General features: G+C 53.1%; 1 protein-coding gene across 2 annotated transcripts, besides 3 other annotated features; it reads right to left on the reverse strand.

Annotated features, from left to right (window-relative positions):
* Nucleotides 1-1,352: 1,352 nt before the first annotated feature.
* CPXM1 (carboxypeptidase X, M14 family member 1) lies at nt 1,353-7,906 on the reverse strand. Of its 2 annotated transcripts, none has more exons than NM_001184699.2 (14): nt 7,680-7,906; nt 6,005-6,172; nt 5,707-5,816; nt 5,431-5,570; nt 5,247-5,337; nt 4,471-4,621; nt 4,285-4,373; nt 3,806-3,929; nt 3,526-3,722; nt 3,261-3,440; nt 3,100-3,175; nt 2,556-2,695; nt 1,816-1,918; nt 1,353-1,710 (listed from the first exon to the last, which is right to left on the reverse strand). In NM_001184699.2, the coding sequence occupies exons 1-14, from the start codon at nt 7,849-7,851 to the stop codon at nt 1,469-1,471; spliced, it is 1,983 nt and encodes a 660-aa protein (NP_001171628.1). In that variant the 5' UTR covers nt 7,852-7,906; the 3' UTR covers nt 1,353-1,468. The 2 variants fall into 2 exon arrangements, with proteins under 2 accessions (NP_001171628.1, NP_062555.1); NM_019609.5 differs by having other exon boundaries at nt 2,878-3,175.
* Nucleotides 5,488-6,475: an enhancer, noted in NCBI's record as "NANOG-H3K27ac-H3K4me1 hESC enhancer chr20:2778855-2779842 (GRCh37/hg19 assembly coordinates)". NCBI's record gives its function as "activates a minimal SCP1, AML or CMV promoter by ChIP-STARR-seq in naive H9 embryonic stem cells {active_cell/tissue: H9 hESC(naive)}" and the evidence as "EXISTENCE:reporter gene assay evidence [ECO:0000049][PMID:30033119]".
* Nucleotides 6,476-7,463: an enhancer, noted in NCBI's record as "NANOG-H3K27ac-H3K4me1 hESC enhancer chr20:2779843-2780830 (GRCh37/hg19 assembly coordinates)". NCBI's record gives its function as "activates a minimal SCP1, AML or CMV promoter by ChIP-STARR-seq in naive and primed H9 embryonic stem cells {active_cell/tissue: H9 hESC(naive and primed)}" and the evidence as "EXISTENCE:reporter gene assay evidence [ECO:0000049][PMID:30033119]".
* Nucleotides 7,464-8,449: an enhancer, noted in NCBI's record as "NANOG-H3K27ac-H3K4me1 hESC enhancer chr20:2780831-2781816 (GRCh37/hg19 assembly coordinates)". NCBI's record gives its function as "activates a minimal SCP1, AML or CMV promoter by ChIP-STARR-seq in naive and primed H9 embryonic stem cells {active_cell/tissue: H9 hESC(naive and primed)}" and the evidence as "EXISTENCE:reporter gene assay evidence [ECO:0000049][PMID:30033119]".

Raw genomic sequence — 19,772 nt, forward strand, 5'->3', positions numbered from 1 at the left:
ATTACTATTTGCCCCATTCCTGTCCTTGGAAGCTCTACTCTGAATGACAAGGGGGTTGGGAGACTACATTTTGTAGGCTTCCTTGCCAGCTGAGTTACTGTTAGATTTTGCCAGTGGACTTCATAGCTCAGGGACTAGAAAGTGGGAGGAAATGAGAAACGGTCCTGTTTCTGGCTCTAGCCATGGCAGGTGATTGCCTGTGGTTGCAAGCAGTCACAAGTGATTACAAGCCTCCAGCACCATCAGCAAATACAGGTTATAAGCACCAGACCAAGGGTGCTATCCTGATTTCTGGGTAAAATTCCCTTCCTTTTGTTCATCCAGCTCTTTTTTGTTTATTTTGTTATGACCATCCAGGTTGGAGTATAGTGGCGCCATCATGGCTCACTGCTGCCTCTGCAGCCTCCACCTCCCAGGCTCCAGTGATCCTCCTGCCTCTGCCTCCCTTAGCCATGCGCCACTACAGCTGGCTATGTTTCTTATTTCTTATTTTTGTAGAGGCGGGGTTTGGCTATGTTATCCAGGCTGGTCTCAAACTCCTGGGCTCAAGCAATCCTCCCACCTCAGCCTCCCAAAGTGCTGGGATTACAGGTGTGAGCCACCACACCCGGCCTCATCCAGCTCTTCCAACACCTTCCTATCCAATTTCCAGCATTAAATTTCCCTCCACTTTAAGTGCCTAGAATGGGTTGTTTACCTGGCAAGACACAGACTGATACACAACTTCCCCTTCAGTCTGATAGAAACTCAGCAAAGCCTATCAGTTATCAATACTCTGAGAATGGCTGAAGCAAATTCAAATGTTCTCAGCTGACCCACCTTTGGCTGACCCTCCTCCTTGGAGCCATCCCTGTCCATACTCCACACCCTGCCCACCTCCCGCCTGAACTTCTAGAGCCACTACTTCTATTGCATCCTTGACTGCCCCAGTCCTGTTGATGTGCAGTGCTGTATTTCACGTGTGCAGCTCCCCTGCACTCTCACGGCACCTGGCCTCCACCCTAGCATGTCTCACAATGTACCGAACTGTCCTTTCCCTTGACTAGGAGCCCCAGGAGTTTGAGTGCAGGCACGGCTGATCCTGATTCCTTGCACACCTGGCAATGAGCAGGCGCTTACAGAATGCCTGGCAGCAGTGTAATGGTACCTGTAGCAGAAGCTGATCAGAAGAAATGAGTTGCTCTGCCAGGCCCTTGGTTCAAGAAGAGCCCAGGTGGGATCCTCTTTTCACACAATGTGTCCAGAAGCCAACTGATGAGAGTGTGCAAGTGTGCAGAATAGGAACTGAGGGCTGGGCCGAGGCCCGCCCCCGGGGGGAGGACCTGGGGCACAGAGACAACACGAAGATGAGCTAAGGTGCCCGGTAGCTTTAATGAGCACCTTTTCCTCACTTTGTCCCTCCCTCTCTACTCTTCCCCTTCCCGTCTTGACAGGTCCAGCCTGCCCTAGGGCTCTTAAACCGCAGGTATCAATCCTTCTGTCCCCTTAGCCGCTCCAGGCGCCTGCGAAGGTCCGGGGGCACCTTGGCCCCAGCTGCCAGCAGCTCGCGCAGCCTCTGTTTGGGAGTCTTGGTGAGCACGAAATTGCAGGGGAAGGGGCCCTCTTCAAAGGTGACCCGACAGTTCCGTGTCACTGAATGGTAGCCCTCGGCACTGGCAGTCACCATGTAGTCCCCTGGGGTCAGCAGACGCCAATAATCCCCGCCCCACGCTGAGGAGAGTGAAGGGCACGATCAGGACCCAATTAATGATCTTCTGCTTCTTCCCGAGCCTCCAGCCCTCCAGCCCCTTCCCTTGCCCTCCCGGTCAAACACACCCGTGGTCACGTCATGGTTAATCCCATCCACGGCAATGACAGCGTCAGCAATCCCAAGCTCCGTGTCCTTGTCCCTCACCACTCCTGCAATGCCCATGCGCACCTGTGTGGGAAGAGGTTATCAGAGCCCTTCCCCTTCGGCAGGATAATGTGCTGTTTAGCTAACTTGCTGGCTCTGTTGCCCTGCAAACCTGAGCAAAGTGGTAGGTCTACTGTGTTCCTAGGTGACACTACTTCTGGAAGAAAAAAAAAAAAGAAATCCTGATTGACAAATCACATCTGGACTAAGAAAATGATAAATACCTGGTAGGAAGGCTTATCTATCCTTGGGCTTTCCCAGGTTATTGGGCTTGTCTTTGGTAGACCCTTTGGAAGCTCTGCTTATGGAGCTATTACAAGGGTTATGAGCTCCATGGAACATGAAGCTTCTATGCCAGGACAGCTCCTGCACCTGCCTCACGTGAGTCTCTCCTGAGGATAGCTCTGGGGCAGCGCCACGGACCACCACCTAGACTGCAATGGAGGCTCCTCCCACCGGCTCTAACACGATGCCACGCTGCCAGCAAACTGCACTTCCTGTCCTGTGTGCTTCCAAGACAATCTGATACCAAGCATGGCCCATGGCATCTTGTGAGTCTGAATGCTCAGCTGGACCTTAGAAGAACCCCTGGTAGGAGCTGTAGCCTAAATGGACAGCAGGAGTGATTCAGGCAGGCTGGGGGCCGGGACGCAGATCCGACCTGCTCCAGGTAGGTGAGGAGGGCGTCTTTGTTGTTCTCCCACTCCTGGGGCAATTCATTCTCGTGAGGGAACTTGTCACAGGACAGCTCCACAGTGACCTCAAAGCAGTTGGTGTGTAGGTAGCTGAAGTCATTCATGCCTAAGGGGACCACAGACACTGCTGCCTAAGCAGGCGGGATGCGGTCCCATCCTCCCGCTACCCTCCCTTCTCTGAGGGACACTTCAGAGTGGGAACAGACGCCAGCACTGTACGCAACCGCAGGCTGTCTTATCAGGGCGGGGGTTACGGGGCCAGGGCTAACTCCACCCTCAGGCACATACTCCCGGGGACCGTGTGCCAGTCAGCCCCGTTGATGATGTTGCCGTGCACGGAGAAGTCCTGGCTGTGGCAGGGTCGGCGGCTGGTGTCCTGCATGGCCAGATTACTGCCAGCATAGACAGTGCTGAGCCAGCGAAACACAGCATCATCTGGTGTGGGCGTGAGCTCGCGGGCAGCCCACGGGGTGCGAGTCATGTCGAATGGGTAGGACACCACGAGCTCACCCCCGTGGAGGTTGGCACTTAGCACAAAGGGGATCCGCTTCATCCACTTGATTACTGCCCGCGTTTCAGGAGCCACCTGGATGGGGCAGGTCAGGAGGGGCAGGAGACAGAGACAAGGTCCGCCCCCCACAGACCTCCACTGCCGCCCTCAAAATACTCACGGTGGCATTGGGCAGGGTGTAGTAAGTGGGCAATGGCAGGTGATGGTTGGGGACGATGTGGGGCACCTTCCCATCGTCCTGTGCTTCCCACAGTGGTGTGTTGAGGTCAGCAAAATTATGGTTAAGATCGATGCTCTGGTTGTTCCAGCGGCCCTCGGCCCAGCCCACCAGCTCTGAACCCTGCCGGGCAAGAGGCTTGTTCAAGTCGAGCAGGTCCAGCCACCAGGGCAGAAGGACAGAGTGGCCCTCATGCTGGGTGGCCTACCCGGTGGTAGGCGATCTCATAGCCATCAGGGTTCATGGAGGGCAGCAGGTGAATGCGCATCTCAGAGAGCAGCCGGGTCACCCGTGGGTTCCCTCGCAGGAACTCATGGCACAGGAACTGCATCAGGAGCAGAAGCAACTCCCGCCCCAGGGCCTCGTTCCCATGCATGCCAGCCACGTAGCGCACCTCAGGCTCCCCTGGGGACACATGGGGGCTTGCAGCGGGTTCATGCCTGGGGCCCTGCCCTGTGCCTACCTCTCCCCACTCCCCATGCCAGTACCCAGCTCATGCTCCCCAGGCTTGTCCGACATTTCCATCACATACAGCTTCAGGCCCTGGTAGCTCTTCCCAATGCTGTAGATGCGGGTGATGTTGGGGCATTGCTCTTGTACCTGCTTCATCAGCTGGTGGGCAGAGTGTAGCGTGGCATGAGGCATGGGAGGGGTACACCCAGGGGCAGATCACATGTGCCATGGAAAGACTTAAAAAGTCAGCGATGGCCCACACAGAGGGGGCATCCCATCATGGTACAGGAGGGGAGCGGCAGCAGAGCCGGGAGGAAGGGGTAGGACTGGGGGGGCGCCATAATAAGGGAAAGTGGGATGGAGCTTAGGGGTCCACAGGAGAGAAGGCTGAGACATCAGGAGGCAGCAGGGGCATACAAGCGCAGTCACAGCAGGTTGTGCCCCGGTGGGAAGGTGGGAAGGGGACCTGAGATGGGTGGGCCCTCCTTCCCAGGTCATAGGGGTTATATCTGACCTTCCTCATGGCCTTGTAATTGTGATGCTGAAAGTCTAGAGGGTCAGAGGATCCCGACGCAGGGGCCTCAAGGAATAGGTCATTGGGGTCTGGTGGAGGTTGAGTTTATGGTAAAGGGTGTGTCCACAGTGAAGGATGCACCCTGCATCCAAGCCCTGCCCAACCAACCCTGGCCTGACTGCCCACCTGAGACTGGGCAGGCCAGGATCTCTGCCCGGAGGCAAGGCGCGCCTCCCTGGAGCCAGGTCTGGGGCAGCAGGCGAATGAAGCGGGCCACCTGGGGCTCCGGCAGGAGGTTCAGCACTGGAGTTTCTGGGTCTGAATTGGCAGGAAATACCTGGGGGCAGCAAGTTCTCTGTTGTGGCTGCTCAAACCCCAGAAGCCTGGCCCAGGACCCAGGGAAGGAGCTCAGGCCTCCAAGCTTACTGTCTCCCCACCCTAGTGGGCTCAGCTAGAGACTTGCACTGTGCATCAAACACAGACCCCGGCCCACAGCCCCTGCCAATGGGCAGCCCTAGGCAGCCTTGCTCTCTGGATTGGACACAGTTCATTAGACCAGTTTGGCCACATGACTCGGGGGAAGCCAATCCTAGAGCTGGCCAGGACTCCACATTGTAGCCTGCTGTAAAAAGAGGTCCATGAGATGCGGAAGTCAGAACCACGAGAAGGCAAGAAGTGATGTGGACCAGAGGCCCCGGGCCAGAAGGGGCACGCCAGGAGGAAGCTGTACCGTGAAGCAGCACCCACCCTGTGGTGGCATTATCTGGGGAGGATGTGGGCATGTCCCAAAGCAGCTGGCTCCCAATGGTGCCTGCCGTGTGCCACCCTCTTGACAACAAGCCACACCCCCCTGGGAAGCCTAAGCTGGCGTCTATTCCTTGTCCTCAGAGGAGCCTCAGCCTAGCCTGGACTGGGTGCCCAACTCCCAGCATGGAGGCCCCAGCCACAGTGGGACCACTCACTGCGTCCATCCCACTGCTGTGGTTCCTACTTCCCCACCAGGTCCGACTGTCATTGCTGAACTGGACCTTGTATGATGTGACCCAGTCATACCTGGCAGGAGAGGTGGAGAGAGATCATCGGTGCCCCCAGGACTCCCACCCCAGTCCTTCTGTGACCTCCTGACCTAGGGTTAGTCTGCCTCACCTCCAGACAGAGTTCCTGCCCTGTGTGATAACACCCGAGAAGCGGGTGGGGTGCCCAGCGTCCACCTGAAACCATGGATCGGCGTCCTGCTCCTCAGCACACCAGGCTCCATCATATAGATCGCCGTCCTCCAGGCCTGACTGCAGACACAGGACATGGTGGTCAGGCCCAGTTGGACAGAGTGGGGCAGGCCAGGACAGAGAGGAGGCAGGAGAGAAGCTCCCAGGGGCTGCCTTCCCTACCCTGAGACCATGGCTCCGAGCCAGGATTACTGACCTGAATGTTGAGCCGTCCTCGGTGTGGTCCAAGACCAAAGGACTGGCTGCTGGATGCCTCAAGCCGGCTATCTGAAACTCGCAGGGACTCCAGACCCAAAGGAGGACAGCCTGGGGCGGGGATAGAACAGTGAGACAGGACCAGAGGGAGGGTAGCCAGGGCAGGTGGGAAGCTGAGCCTAAGGTTGCTCCTGCGCTAGGCAAGCAAGGGGCGTGCCGGTGCCCATGAGGCCAAGAGCTGTGCTGGTAAAGTGCCCCAGGGGCTGCAAGTCTGGGCTGGGCCCCTGGAGAGGAAGTACCTGTTTCTTGTTTCTCAGCGGGGTCGAGGGTCCCTGCTGGAGTGGGGGTCACAAGGGGCCCGGCAGTCACCAGTGGGGTGGGGCGAGTTAGAGTTAGCTTCTTCCGCTTCTTCATAATGACCTTTTTCTTCTTGATGACTCGAATCCGGACATGCTGTTCTGAGGTCCCTTGGGGTCCGAGAGGCACAGCATGGGGGAAAGGAAGAATGGTGAAACCCCGGATGGAAAGGTCTGCCAGCCCAAGAAGACATGTGAGCCCACAGCAGGCCACACCACCAGGATCTAACAGCCTTCACAGGACATCAAAGGCCTGCAATCTGACCCCAACCTGCCTCTCCAGTCACTTCCTTGGCTCCTCCTTCTCCTCCCTGATGTAACTACATGCTTGGCCAGCCTCCCCTGTGAACCTCTAATCCAATGGAGAGCTGCACCCAGCCTCTAGAAACTGTTCGGTTGCTCCAAAGAGCTGAGTCTGGCACTTTACCTCCGGGCCTCTGCACTAGCTATCCCCTCCCCTGTAATGCTACCCCTCGCCTCTGATTTTTTCACCTAATTCCCATTCTTCCTTTGCATCTCAGCCCAGATGCCTTTCCAAGGAGGCTTTCTTAGCTCCAGACTCAGCATCATGCCCCAAAACCCCTGTGCCGCTTCCATTGTTGTGTCTGCTCTCTGGGCTCAGATGGCCTGTCCTGGAATCCATGTCTGCCTGGGTGTCGAGGCTTTCAGGGCTGGGCCTGCCCGCCGGCCCTTCAGCACAAGGCTCTGCCCAGGCAGGTGCTGGGGGTACCCATCGAAGCTCCACAGCTGCCTCCAGAACAGGCTGCCCATTTCCGCATCTGGTGCCCCTGTGCCTTTGCCCGCCGCTTCCTTCTTGGCAGCCCTCTCTCTCTCTCTCTCTCCAGACTCCCCTGACTCGGGGACATCACCCTTCAAGACCCTCCTCCACTTGCCTCCTCTAGAAGCCCCTGAGTGCCCTCCGCTTGCGCTCCTCCTCTCCTATTCCACATCTGGAAAGCTGGGAGGTCGGGCTGCCTTCCTCTCCCGCTCTGCCCCATCCTCCCGGCAGCCTCAGCGAGGGGCTCTCCCTTCTTTCCTTTTGTTCTTTCTCTCCAGCCCTCGCCTTCAAACTCTCTCCTACGCAGTCTTGCTCTGCACCTTGAGAGCTTCTGCCCCTCTGTCTCCCCTCCTGCCAGTTCTGGCCTGTTTTGTCTTTGGTGAAAAGGGAAGGTTTGGGGCTTGGAAGAGGCAGCATCCCACTGGCGCCTGTCCTGGGACTGCTGACTAGGTCTGGCAGGGAACTGGGGCTGCCGAGTCAGCAGCCATTGCTCCCAGCAGGGAGTTGAGGGAGTGTGAGTGTGTATATGTGTGTGTGCACTGTGAGTGTGAGTGTGCGCGCGCGTGCACTGTGTGTGCGCGCACGCGCGTGTGAGTGTGCGTGTGTGTGCATGCGTGTGAATGCGCGCGCGTGTGAGTGCAAGTGTGCGCGTGTGTGAATGTGTGTGAGTGCGCGCGCGTGTGTGCGCGTGAGTGCGAGTGTGCGTGCGGGGTGAGTGTGCATGACTGTGAGTGTGCGTGGGTGTGCGTGTGCCCGCGTGTTAGGGAGGGATCGCCCCACGGGGCAGGAGAGCCGGGCAGTCGGCTTGCGGGGGAGCGGACCGTCGGTCGGGGAACTCACCGTTAGCTGTCTCCGCCGGCGGCTGTGCCGGGCTGCTATGCAGGGCCGGGGTCGAGCCTGGGACCTTGGTGGTCCCGGGCTGCGCGAGGCCCAGCACCGAGTTCCTGGGCGCCCCCAGAGCCGGGCCGACGGCCGGCGCGAAGGCGGCCAGGGCGAGCAGGAGCCCCCACATGGCGGGGATTGAGTGCCAGGGGCGCGCGGGCTACGGCGGGTGGCGGGTCGGTCTCTTCCTGCCGAGTGCGCCGAGCCCCCCGCCCCTTCCTGCCCCCCGCCCCTCCGCAGCCTCCTGCCCGCCCACAGCCCGCTGCCCGCCTCGGACCTCGGAGAGGAGGAGAGGGCCGGGAGGAGCGAGCGGGGCTGACCTCCAAGGGGCCGCCCCAAGTCTCAGGACCGCCGACTCTGCCCTTCCTCTCCGCCGTCTGGGGCCAACCCGCCTCGTTGGCGCGCTGCGCCTTTATAGTCTGCAAAGCCACACTGAAGAGACCAGAGATCACCTGGTGGCCATCAAGTCGACCAACAGGAGGCAAAGCCCCTTATCTGAGCAATTCAGAATGACACTTCCCTATTGTCTAAAGCCACATCTGGTACCAAGCTTCCGTCCCAAGAATTTATAAGTAACTAGAATTTCTGTACGTTTCCGGAATGAGTGCACGTTAAGACCCATTGTGCAAACTTTGCTGACATCAAGGCACCAAAATATCGACAAATGTAACCATTTACCATGACCTAAGTGACTAATGTGGTCCAAATTACCCTGCAGTTCCCCGCAGGGAGCTCAGTCCTCTCTTGCTGAAGCGCCTACTGCGCTCTGCTGCCTCGTCCTTTCCGTCTAATAAAACTTTCCTTTTCAGACCTACACGGTTGTTGATAAGTTCTTTTACCACCCGGGAGCCAACCACTTCCCGGTTCCGGAGCTCTGACACCTCGCCTGGCATCTTGGTGGCCCATACGGGGACTTCACTGGGATTTCCCTCTTCCTTTTTCTCTCTGCTTCCTTCCACGGTCTGGTTCTTTACTCTTTGGGGAACTGCCGGTCCCGGTGGAGGCAGCTCTTCTGTGGGATCCTGAAGCCCTAGAGAAGGGATACCTGGCTGTCCTTGCCCTTAGGGGTGAGGGACTGGCCAGGGCTCTTTTCTGTTTTCGGACTGCCAGTGAACCAGCTTGAGTTCTCGTTGGCAACTGACAGTTTCTGGCCAAGCGCCATCCCCCGGTATTACCCCAAGGCCAAGACAAAAGAGCTATTGCCTGTCAGAGTGGCAGGGCACTTTCATTTTAACACTCCATAAGCCTTGTCCTGGAAGCGGTGGATCTCAATTCTACACAGGGATGCCTCAGGGATCTTGTAGTTCCTTGTCTAAACCCAACTTCGGTTCAATTAATTCAGTTCCATCCAACTCGCCCTTGGATTGCCTCCTTAAAAATGGTCCCATTGGTCTCATTTTGACCCACAAACTCTTAAAAATAAGCATATAAGGCTGAGCACAATGGCTTATGCCTGTAACCCCAGCACTTTGGGAGGCCAAGGCAGGCAGATCACCTGAGGTCCGGAGTTAAAGACCGGGAGTCTACTAAAAATGCAAAACTTGGCCGGGCACAGTGACTCACACCTGTAATCCTAGCACTTTGGGAGGCCGAGGCGAGTGGATCACCTGAGGTCAGGAGTTCGAGATCAGCCTGGCCAACATGGCGAAACCCTGTCTCTACTAAAAATACAAAAAAAAAAAAAAAATCAGCCAGGGGGCTAATTATATGTGGCGGGCACATATAATCCCAGCTACTAGGGAGGCTGAGGCAGGAGAATCACTTGTACCCCGGGGGCGGAGGTTGCAGTGGGCCAAGATGGCGCCACAGCACTCCAGCCTGGGCGACACAGCAAGACTCTGTCTCAAAAAATACAAATAAAAAATAAATAAGAGTTTAAAAAGCATATCCTTTTTTCTAATATTGCTTGGGTTCAATACAAGCTCCCTAATCAATCAATTTGGCCAATTAATGAAACTTGGGATTGCAATGCTACTTTACAACTTAACTGATTTTTTGCCGGAACCTTGGAAAGGATTCAGAAGTCCCATATGTTCAGGTCTTTTTTGCTTTATCCCCAAATCCAAACCCAAAATTACATACAAATTGTCATGTATGCTTCCAAGGAACGTCCTCCCTTCCCGGTTCTGATGTCTTAGATGATCCTTCCTTTTGCCTATTACATCCTCCTCAACCTGCTCACTCTTCACCTACACCCTCTCCATCTGCTCCATTCCCTAGTCAATCTCCCACCCACATACCCAAATACTTTCTCCCCTTCACATACTCTCAGGGGAGTCACATATGCTACTAGTACAGAGTCCTCAGAAAAATCCCCAAAATATTTTGCCTCTCCCTAAGGTGGCTAATGAAGATTTGGGAACAAGCCAAGTTCATGTCCCTTTTCTGATCATGTCTGATCTTTTGCAAATTCAATCCAAGTTGGGTTCATTTAGTCAGGATCCCTCTAAGTTCATTCAAGAATTTCAGACTTTAACTGTTGCCTTTGATTTAACCTGGCAAGATGTATTTGTGGTATTAACTACCTGCTGTTCCCACACACAAAAAATCACACGTGTGATCTTCAGCATGGGCAGATGAAGCTCATGCTCCCAGTCCTAATAACAGAGCTGGGCAGAAGCTGTCCCCAACATAGAACCTATTGGCAATACCAGGCCACCAATTCTGGCCCAAACAGAGGTAAGGGCAGACAGGATCATATGGTAACTTCTCTGTTGGAGGGAATGAAAAATATATAATAAAACCTGTTAATTTTTCTAAATTATAAGAAATAATAGCTGGGCGCGGTGGCTCACACCTGTAATCCCAGCACTTTGGGAGGCTGAGGCGAGCGGGTCACCTGAGGTTTGAGACCAGCCTAGCCAACACGGAGAAACCCCATCTCTACTAAAAATACAAAATGAGCTGGGCATGGTGGTGCATGCCTGTAATCCCAGTTACTCCAGAGGCTGAGGCAGGAGAATCGTTTGAACCTTGGAGGCGGAAGTTGTGGTGAGCTGAGATTGCGCCACTGCACTCCAGCCTGGGCAACAAGAGCGAAATTCCATCTCAAATAAAATAAAATAAAAAGAAATAATAATTTTGTATGTATGAAACTATCTGAAAGCCCTGCCCTTTTCCAAGCTAGACTGGTGGAGGCCATGCATAAATACACAAATTGAGACCCCAGGGGCCAGGTGTGGTTGCTCACACCTGTAATCCTAGTACTTTGGGAGACCAAGGCGAGGCGGGCGGATCACCTGAGGTCAGGAGTTGGAGACCAGCCTGGCCAACATGGTGAGAACCTGTCTCTACTAAAAACACAAAAATCTGTGGGCATGGAGGTGCATGCCGGTAATTCCTGCCTTTTAATGCTTATATCTTCCAGCTTACAATGATTCCACCTACAGATGACTATGCAATCCCAATACCAGCCTGCAACAGCAACTTCTATTTTCATGGGGCCTCTTGATGGAATCTGGTCTTCCCTCCATGAACAAGTTTATCATGACCCTTCATTCCCTTCATGACAGAAAGCAAGAAAGGAATCCTTTCAATGCCCCTTTTCAGCAGGAAGTAGCCAGATAGACTGGACACCCCTCTTCACTGTGCCATTTTCCCTTTCTTGGGATCCTAACAGACAAGTAGACATGAGCATGGAGAAATACAAAGGGTCAAAGATTTGCCCAAAATATTTATCAGGGGGAAAATGAGGAGAGCAAGGATCACCTGGTGGCCATCAAGCAGACCATCAGGAGGCAAAGCACCTTATCTGAAGAACTCAGAATGGTACTTTCCTATTATCTAAAGCCACATCTGGTACCAGGCTTCTTTCCCTAGAATTTCTATACATCTCCGGAATGCACGCATGTTGGAACCCATTGTGCAACCTTTGCTGTCATCAAGGTGCCAAAATGTCTACAAATGTAATCATTTACTATGACCTACAAAACTAATGTGGTCAAAATTACCCTTCAGTTCCCTGCAAGTGAGCTCAGGCCTCTCTTGCCGAAGCATCCCGCTGCGCTCTGCTGTGGAGTTCTTTCCATCTAATAAAACTTTTCAAACCTATACTGTTGTTGATAAATTCTTTTACCACCCGGGAGCCAACCATTCGTGGCTGCGGCTCCCGGGGCTCTGACACCCAGCCTGGCACACAACATTTCACTTAGCCCCTCGAGGCCCTTAGCCTGCAGCAGACATCTACTTTGTACCATGCACTATGCCAGGAGTTTTACACGTGGCCGCTCAATCAAACTTCATTTTACAAACTGATAAACTGAGGCTCAGAGCGGCTAATGACTTGGGCGAGGTAGCAAAGCTGAGAACTTTGGGAAGGAAACTACAACCGGAGAGGAAAAGCTATCCAGAGCCAGAGGCCCCCTGGCAGGGCGGGTGGGACAGAAGGGGGAAAAGAGTGAAGGGAAAATGAGGCGGCGGGGGGCTAGGGGGCGACCCGGAGCCTGGGGAGAGGGCTGGTCCCGGAATCCTCCAGAAAGACAACCCAAGGGGCCCAAGAAGAGGCGGCACGGCGGCGCTTCCCACCACCACCATCACCAAGCCCGGCCCTGCCCCTCCTCTCCTTTCCCTTCCCTCCCCTACTCCTTCGCTCACTCACCCGGCTGCCACGTCCCGTCCCGGGGTTACATAACCCGGAGAGAGAAGCCTGAGCGATAGCCTGCGGGCTGGGGCTGCGGTGGAGGAGCCAAGGGTTGATGCACTGCCTGACCTGCCCTCCGGCTCCTCGCCCCCAGCCCGTATTCTCCTCGGGGAGCCGGCAGCCCTGGGTCTGCCCAGATCCGGAGATGCCCTTCCCGCCCTCCCTCCAAGACCCCCTTTGGATCCTGCATTCCTGGTCATCTCTCCAGAAGGAAGGAAACGCGTCCAGCGGTGTGCCTTTGGCCGGCGCTTGGCCTTTGCAAAGGGCTCTCCAGGGAGATGCTCCCATCCCCACGAGGAGCGATGCCCAGAAGTGGCCCGCAATCCTCTGGCGTAAGCGGGGCCCTGCGCAAATGTTTTTTGCAGGGGCACTATCTGTATAAATGATTTGAATCACCCAAAAGCAGCTTGTGGGCACCATTCTGGCAGCCCACGCTCACACGAACCCCAGAAAGAAATAGCGCGCCGCAGTCTGGGACTGGGGCCCACCGCCGGCAGGGACTACCCCATAGGCACTGGTCCTGGAGCTCCTCGAGGCATCTGGTCTGCCCCACGCGCGCAGGGTGAAGAGCTAGAGGACCCCCGAAAGGGAGTGACCCCACAGGGCCCACGTGCAACTGGGTCCCGCCTCGCAGCCCCCTGCCTCGACGGCGCTGCCGGGTCCCAGGCACTGGATGGGAGGACAGAGAGACATTTCAAGGGAAGCGCTGCACAGCCGGGACTCCCTGGACGCCAGGCAGGGGCAGATGGGCAGCGCCGATGCTTCCCGAAGGTGGGAGGCCGCAGTCTGAACAGGTCCCGAGGGCTGCTAAGCGTCCCGCCAAAGCCCAATCTGGCCACCTCCAGGTCTCTGGTCCCCACACCCATCCAGGTTTCTCGGGTGTTGGGAAGAAAGGAGGGGGCACAAGAAACAGGACATCTCAGCCTCCTGAAGCCCACACCCCCTCCAAGCCGTTCCCCACACAGTAGGCAAATTCTGTCAAGTTCCTCCAGGCTTAAGGCCCCAGTGGGTTCACCTGCAAGGTCTTCATGACCAAGTTCTTCCTGCCCACGCCTTTCCCATTCCATCTGCCTCCCTATCCCCTGGCTCCCATCCCCCCAGTCACTCCGGCATTCTAGCTGCTCCTCCCACGCAACAGCCCAACTAGCCTCCTGGCCTTTTAATTTGTGCATGGAATTTGCCTTCTCAGTCAGATTTCCTTTCAATATCACCTGCTCCCAAAGGCTTTCCCTGACTACCCTGACTAAAGCAAACTTTTTCACTTCACACACTCTATCCTCCCACCCGTTTAAATTATTGTCTTCAAGGCACTCAACACCGAGATGATCTTGCTTTACTTATGTGTTGGCTGTTCAGGTTCCCCCACCCCCAGCAGGAGGTAAGTACCCTGCCAGAAGAACTTTGTACCCAAATGTCCACAGCTGCACCTCAGAGCCTAGAACAGCACCTGGTCCCTCGTCAGCTCTCATAAAGTGTGTGTATAATATATTCAAGGTTAGAGTGGACAAACCAGGGCTGAAAGGACCTCCTCAACAGTGCCAGGATTTGCAGGAGAGGACATGGCAGGCCGTGAACTGAAAGACCAGTTCCCAAAGTGACTAGGGTGGAGCAGCTGGCACTCTCCCACCAATCTTTTAGGGGCCAGGGCTGCAGGATGCTCCACCTCTTTTTTCTTTTATTCTTTTTTTTTTTGAGACGAGTCTCACTCTGTCACCCAGGCTGGAATGCAGTGGCGGGATCTCAGCTGACTGCAAGCTCCACCTCCTGGGTTCACGCCATTCTCCTGCCTCAGCCTCCCAAGAAGCTGGGACTACAGGTGCACACCACCTCGCCTGGCTAATTTTTTGTGTTTTTAGTAGAGACGGGGTTTCACCGTGTTAGCCAGGATGGTCTCGATCTCCTGACCTCGTGATCCACCCACCTCGGCCTCCCAAAGTGCTGGGATAACAGGTGTGAGCCACCGTGTGTGGCCGGGATGCTCCATCTCTTATGTCTCCTGCACCCAGCTCCCATCCCCCTTCCCACCACTCTGCACTCCCTGCCCCTGTCCTCTATTGCAACCCTTAGGACCCCTTGGTTCCCTGCTGTGTCTCCTGAGCCCCGCAGCACTTTCTCACACTCTTCTCCACTCCCAGCCCTGCTGCCACCCCTGGCCCTTGCCACTGGCTACCTGGGGCTGCAAAGGTACAAGTAGCAGGATCTGGAGGTGATAGCTCCAGGGGCAGAGGGGCAGGTTTGCACCCAAGTACCTGTATAGCCAGATCTCATCTACCAGGAGCCAGGTAGAAGATCTTTCGTGGTCTCACTAGGTGCAATTGAGAAGGACTGGATAGTGGCACCCGCCTAAAAGGGATTTTAATGTAAGGGGTGGGCTAGGAATCTCCTGCCAACTCCCTGGTGTGGTTAGGTGGTTGGAGGGGGAGAGGATAGGTGACTCTGGTGACATACAGGCTTCGTTTCACATCCCACTTCTGACGTGTATTTTGTTTGGCTATCCTTGGGCAGTAGTTTCACCTCCCTGAGACTTAGTTTCCTCATCTGTAAAACAGGAACCATATCCTTCTCCCAGGTTTGCTGTGATGATAAAGTGAGATAATATAGGGTCTTAGGGGGCTCCTAGGTTGATCAGATGCATTAAAGGTGGGGAAAACAGTGTAACACAGCCCTCTTACTCCTACATACTTAGATGGAATAAAACAGTATCAAGGAAAAGAAAGGAAGCTCTGTGTCCAGCTGCACAAATAATGAAGTAGAATCTACTGCCTGCCTGTGCCTCTAATCTCCTGTGCCTGGATGCTAAAGCAGAACTCATTTCCTGCTAGGTGCTCTCCCTGTGATGTAGGTGAGCATTGTTGGAGCCTCACATGGGACCAGGATGCACAGGGGAGCATCTCCCCACGCACCCGTTCTCCCCTCATCACTCTCTACCCCAGCTTTCTCTCCTACATACATCAAGGTCTTTGAGAGCCTTGCTCCACAAAGTGTGGTTGAAGACCAGCAGCAGTAGCATCCCCTGGGAACTTGTTAGAAATGCAGAACAGGCCGGGTGCAGTGGCTCACGCCTGTAATCCCAGAACTTTGGGAGGCCGAGGCGGGCGGATCACCTGAGGTCAGGAGTTCAAGACCAAATACAAATACAAAACTTACCTGGCCAACACGGTGAAACCCCATCTCTACTACAAATACAAAACTTAGCTGGGTGTGGTGGTGCACGCCTGTAATCCCAGCTATTCAGGAGGCTGAGGCAGGAGAATCGCTTGAACCCAAGAAGCGGAGGTTGCAGTGAGCTGGGATGGTGTCATGCACTCCAGCCTAGGTGAAAGAGCTAGACTCTGTCAAAAAAAAAAAACCAAAAAAAAAACCAAAAAACAAAAAACAAACAAACAAAAAAAACACCTCTGCCCCAGACCTATTGAATCAGAATATGCATTTTTTTTTTTTTTTTTTTTTGACAGAGTCTCACTCTGTCTCCCAGGCTGGAGTGCAGTGGCCCGATCTCAGCTCACTAAACTGCCACCTCCCGGGTTCAAGCAATTCTCCTGCCTCAGTCTCCTGAGTAGCTGGGACTACAGGCGTCCACCACCACACCCAGCTAATTTTTGTGTTTTTAGTAGAGACAGGGTTTCACCATATTGGCCAGGCTGGTCTCGAACTCTTGACCAGAATCTGCATTTTTAACAAGACCTCCAGAGGATTCAACCCCAGGAGATACATATGCGTGTTGAAGACTGAGTTTTATCCCTGGTATTTGATGCTGTCACGGGTAATTTTATCTTAAGCCACAAGCGTATATCCACATGACGTTAGGGAATTGGTCTTTCATTTACCCTGGGAAGGAATATTCCTGATCTCCACAGCATGACTATCTGTTGATTTGTTCTTTGTTTGTAACTAAGTCATTTTTATCAGAATAGTACAAAATATAGTTTTGGTTTTGTTTTTTTAGAGACACTGTCCTGCTCTGTTGCCTATGTTGGGGAAAACAGCCCCATAACGCCTAGCGGTTACCCCGAGTCCGGCGGAGACAAAGGAGTTAGAAAGAGACAGAATAAGCGTTTAAAAGGCGGGTCCAGGGGACCGGAGCGTCGGAGGCTTGCTCACGGCCCAGAGTTCTCAGGCTCCGCCCAATTTATTGGTTTACAAGCTCTTTGTTCTTAGGGCAGATGGGAGGAGGAGGAAGGGATGAGGGAAAGGATTAATCAGTGAAGGAGAACTGGAGAGTCATTCTGTAAGATGTATAGCAGTGGCGGTTTCTGTGAATTTCCTTGAGCAAAGAGGAGTGTCAAACTACTTAAGATCTTTAACTGGCCGGGCGCGGTGGCTCACGCCTGTAATCCCAGCACTTTGGGAGGCTGAGGTGGGTGGATCGCTTGAGGTCAGGAGTTCGAGACCACTCTGGCCAACGTGGTGAAACCCCGTCTCTACTAAAAATACAAAAAATTAGCCGGGCGTGGTGGCGGGCGCCTGTCGTCCCAGCTACTCGGGAGGCTGAGGCGGGAGAATGGCGTGAACCCGGGAGGCGGAGCTTGCAGTGAGCCGAGATCGAGCCACCGCACTCCAGCCTGGGCGACAGAGCGAGACTCCGTCTCAAACAAAAACAAAACAAAACAAATCTTTAACTTATCGGGACTGAAACGGGTGGGAGTGGGTTTCAGGAGGAGCCAAGATGTTTGATTATACTCCACTGCTTCAAGGGAGTGTTATATGCCTGAGCAACCTGTGGAATGCCGCTGAGGGGTTCTGCTCTCGGGCGTAAAGACATGAAGGCAATAAGGAGACTTTTCTCCTCAGAGGCCGCGCATGGCTTCCCATGGGTGTCTCACACAGGGAAGACTAACTCAGCTGGCACCCCAGAAACTCTCTTTCCCACAGCCTAGGCTGGAGTGCAATAGTGTAATCACAGCTCACTGCAGTCTGGAACTCCTGGGTTCAAGCGATCCTCCCACCTCAGCCTCCCAAGTATCTGGGACGTGTCACCACGCTCAGCTAATTTCTACCTTTTTTTTTTTTTTTTTTTTTTTTTTTTTGAGACTAAATCTCACTCTGTCACCAGGCTGGAGTGCTGTGGTGCGATCTCGGCTCACTGCAACCTCCGCCTCTGGGTTCAAGCGATTCTCCTGCCTCAGCCTCCCAAGTAGCTGGGATTACAGGCGTGTGCCACCACACCCGGCTAATTTTTTGTATTTTTAGTAGAGATGGAGTTTCACCTTGTTAGCCAGGACGGTCTCAATCTCCTGACCTTGTGATCTGCCCGCCTTGGGCCTCCCAAAGTGCTGGGATTACAGGTGTGAGCCACTGCACCCGGCCACATTTTTTTTTTTTTAAGAGACAAGTTTTCGCTATGTCATCCAGGCTACAACATAGTTTCTATTTTTATTTCAATTGCTTTAGGGGTACCAGCGGTTTTTGGTTACAGGGGAGAACTGTATAGTGGTGAAGTTTGAAATCTTAGAGCGCCCATCACCCGAGTAGTGTACATTGTATGCAACATGCAGTTTTTTTTATCTGTCACCCCCCGCTTACCCTCCTCCTTCTGAGTCTCCAATGTCCATTATACCATTCTGTATGCCTTTGCATACCCACAGCTTAGTTTCCATTTATTTATTTTTATTTAATTTATTTTTTTTGAGACAGAGTCTCGCTCTGTTGCCCAGGCTGGAATGCAGTGGCGTGAACTCGGCTCACTGCAAGCTCCGACTCCTGGGTTCATGCCATTCTCCTGCCTCAGCCTCCCGAGTAGCTGGGACTACAGGTGCCGCCACCACGCCCAGCTAATTTTTTGTGTTTTTAGTAGAGACGGGTTTCACCGTGTTAGTCAGGATGGTCTCGATCTCCTGACCTCGTGATCCACCCGCCTCAGCCTCCCAAAGTGTTGGGATTACAGGAGTGAGCCACCGTGTCCCGCCAGCTTCCATTTATAAGTGAGAACATATGGTATTTGGCTTTCCATTCCTTAGTTACTTCACTTAGAATAATGACCTCCAGTTCCATCCAAAAGACATTATTTCACTCTTTTTTATGGCTGAGTAGTATTCCATGGTGTGTGTGTGTGTGTGTGTGTGTGTGTGTGTGTGTGTGTGCATGCACACACATAGCACATTCCCTCTATTCACTCATCAGTTGATGGGCACTTAGATTGGTTCCATATCTTTGCAATTGTGAACTGTGCTGCAATAAACTATGTATGCAGGTGTCTTTTTGATATAATAACTTATTTTCCTTTGGGTAGATATCCAGTAGTGAGGTTGCTGAATTGAATGTAGATCTCTGTTTAGTTATCTGATAAATCTTCATACAGTTTTCCATAGAGGTCCAGTCTACAATATAGTTTTAAAGGTAAATCACATTTAGGCTTGTAATGGAAGAGTCGGCTCTATGCCTTTCCCAAGCCAAGCACTTTTAGTTCTTTTTGTTATTTCTCCTGTCTTTATCTCTATGCTTAGATTTCTTGCTATTTCCTTTTTTTTCTTTTTTCTTTTCTTTTCTCCTTCTTCTTCTTTTTTTTAAAAGACAATTTCTTGCTCTGCTGTCCAGGCTGGAGTGCAGTGAGCTGAGGCTCACTGCAACCTCTGCCTCCCAGGCTCAAGTGATCCTCGTGCCTCAGCCACTCAAGTAGCTGGGATTACAGGTGCCTGCCACCATGCTCAGTTAATTTTTGTATTTTTAGTAGAGATGGGGTTTTACCATGTTGGCCAGGCTGGTCTTGAACTCCTGGCCTCAAGTGATCTGCCCACCTCAGCCTCCCAAAGTTCTGGGATTACAGGTGTGAGTCACTGTGCATTTCTTGATTTTTCTTTATGTAGTTGTTATCTGTGGATTTCTGCTATGAAATTAAGGCGTTAGTTTTTCTACCACCCTCCCCTCAATACACACATCCAGATACACAAACATACACTCCCTCCTTCCATTTTCAGTAAAGCTCAATTGCTATTTGGAATCAATATTCAGTGCTTTTGTTATGACTATGTAAATATTATGTTTAAATTTGTGCTACCTGGAGTTAGTAATTACTTTGTTTTTATCATTTGCTTAGTTTTCTAGGCATCACTCATTAATTCAATCGCAAAGCTTCCAGTGTAACTGAACATTTACTCAATATAGCCAAACATAGCTAATAATCAGTTGATTTCATTTTCCTCTGGAGACATCGCTCCTAGAGCACATCTTCTGATTTCAGGCTGGGTTGGTTACTTTCTTTACCCGGGGGTATAGTTGACATCCCAGGCCTTTCTCATCGTCCCTTTTCTGTGCTTAATCTCATTTATTGAATGCCATATTGCTCTCTTTCTTAGTTTAATTCTTTGTTTTGCTGAAGCACATCCTCCAGTAGCTTTCTAAGAAAGGGTATATGCAAGGTCAAATTTCTGAGACCTTGTATGATTGAAATGTCATTATTCTACCCTCCCAATTAA

Source organism: Homo sapiens, chromosome 20 (genome assembly GCF_000001405.40).
Source record: "Homo sapiens chromosome 20, GRCh38.p14 Primary Assembly".
Classification (NCBI taxonomy): domain Eukaryota; kingdom Metazoa; phylum Chordata; class Mammalia; order Primates; family Hominidae; genus Homo; species Homo sapiens.

What these genes read in the sequence shown, in the direction of transcription:
- CPXM1 (NM_019609.5), bottom strand. Translation starts at nt 7,851, where the DNA reads ATGTGGGGGCTCCTGCTCGCCCTGGCCGCCTTCGCGCCGGCCGTCGGC. An exon ending in GAGGACGGCTCAACATTCAG is followed by an intron (nt 5,571 to 5,706) that starts GTCAGTAATCCT and finishes CTGTGTCTGCAG; the next exon opens with TCAGGCCTGGAGGACGGCGA. An exon ending in ATTACAAGGCCATGAGGAAG is followed by an intron (nt 3,930 to 4,284) that starts GTCAGATATAAC and finishes TCTGCCCACCAG; the next exon opens with CTGATGAAGCAGGTACAAGA.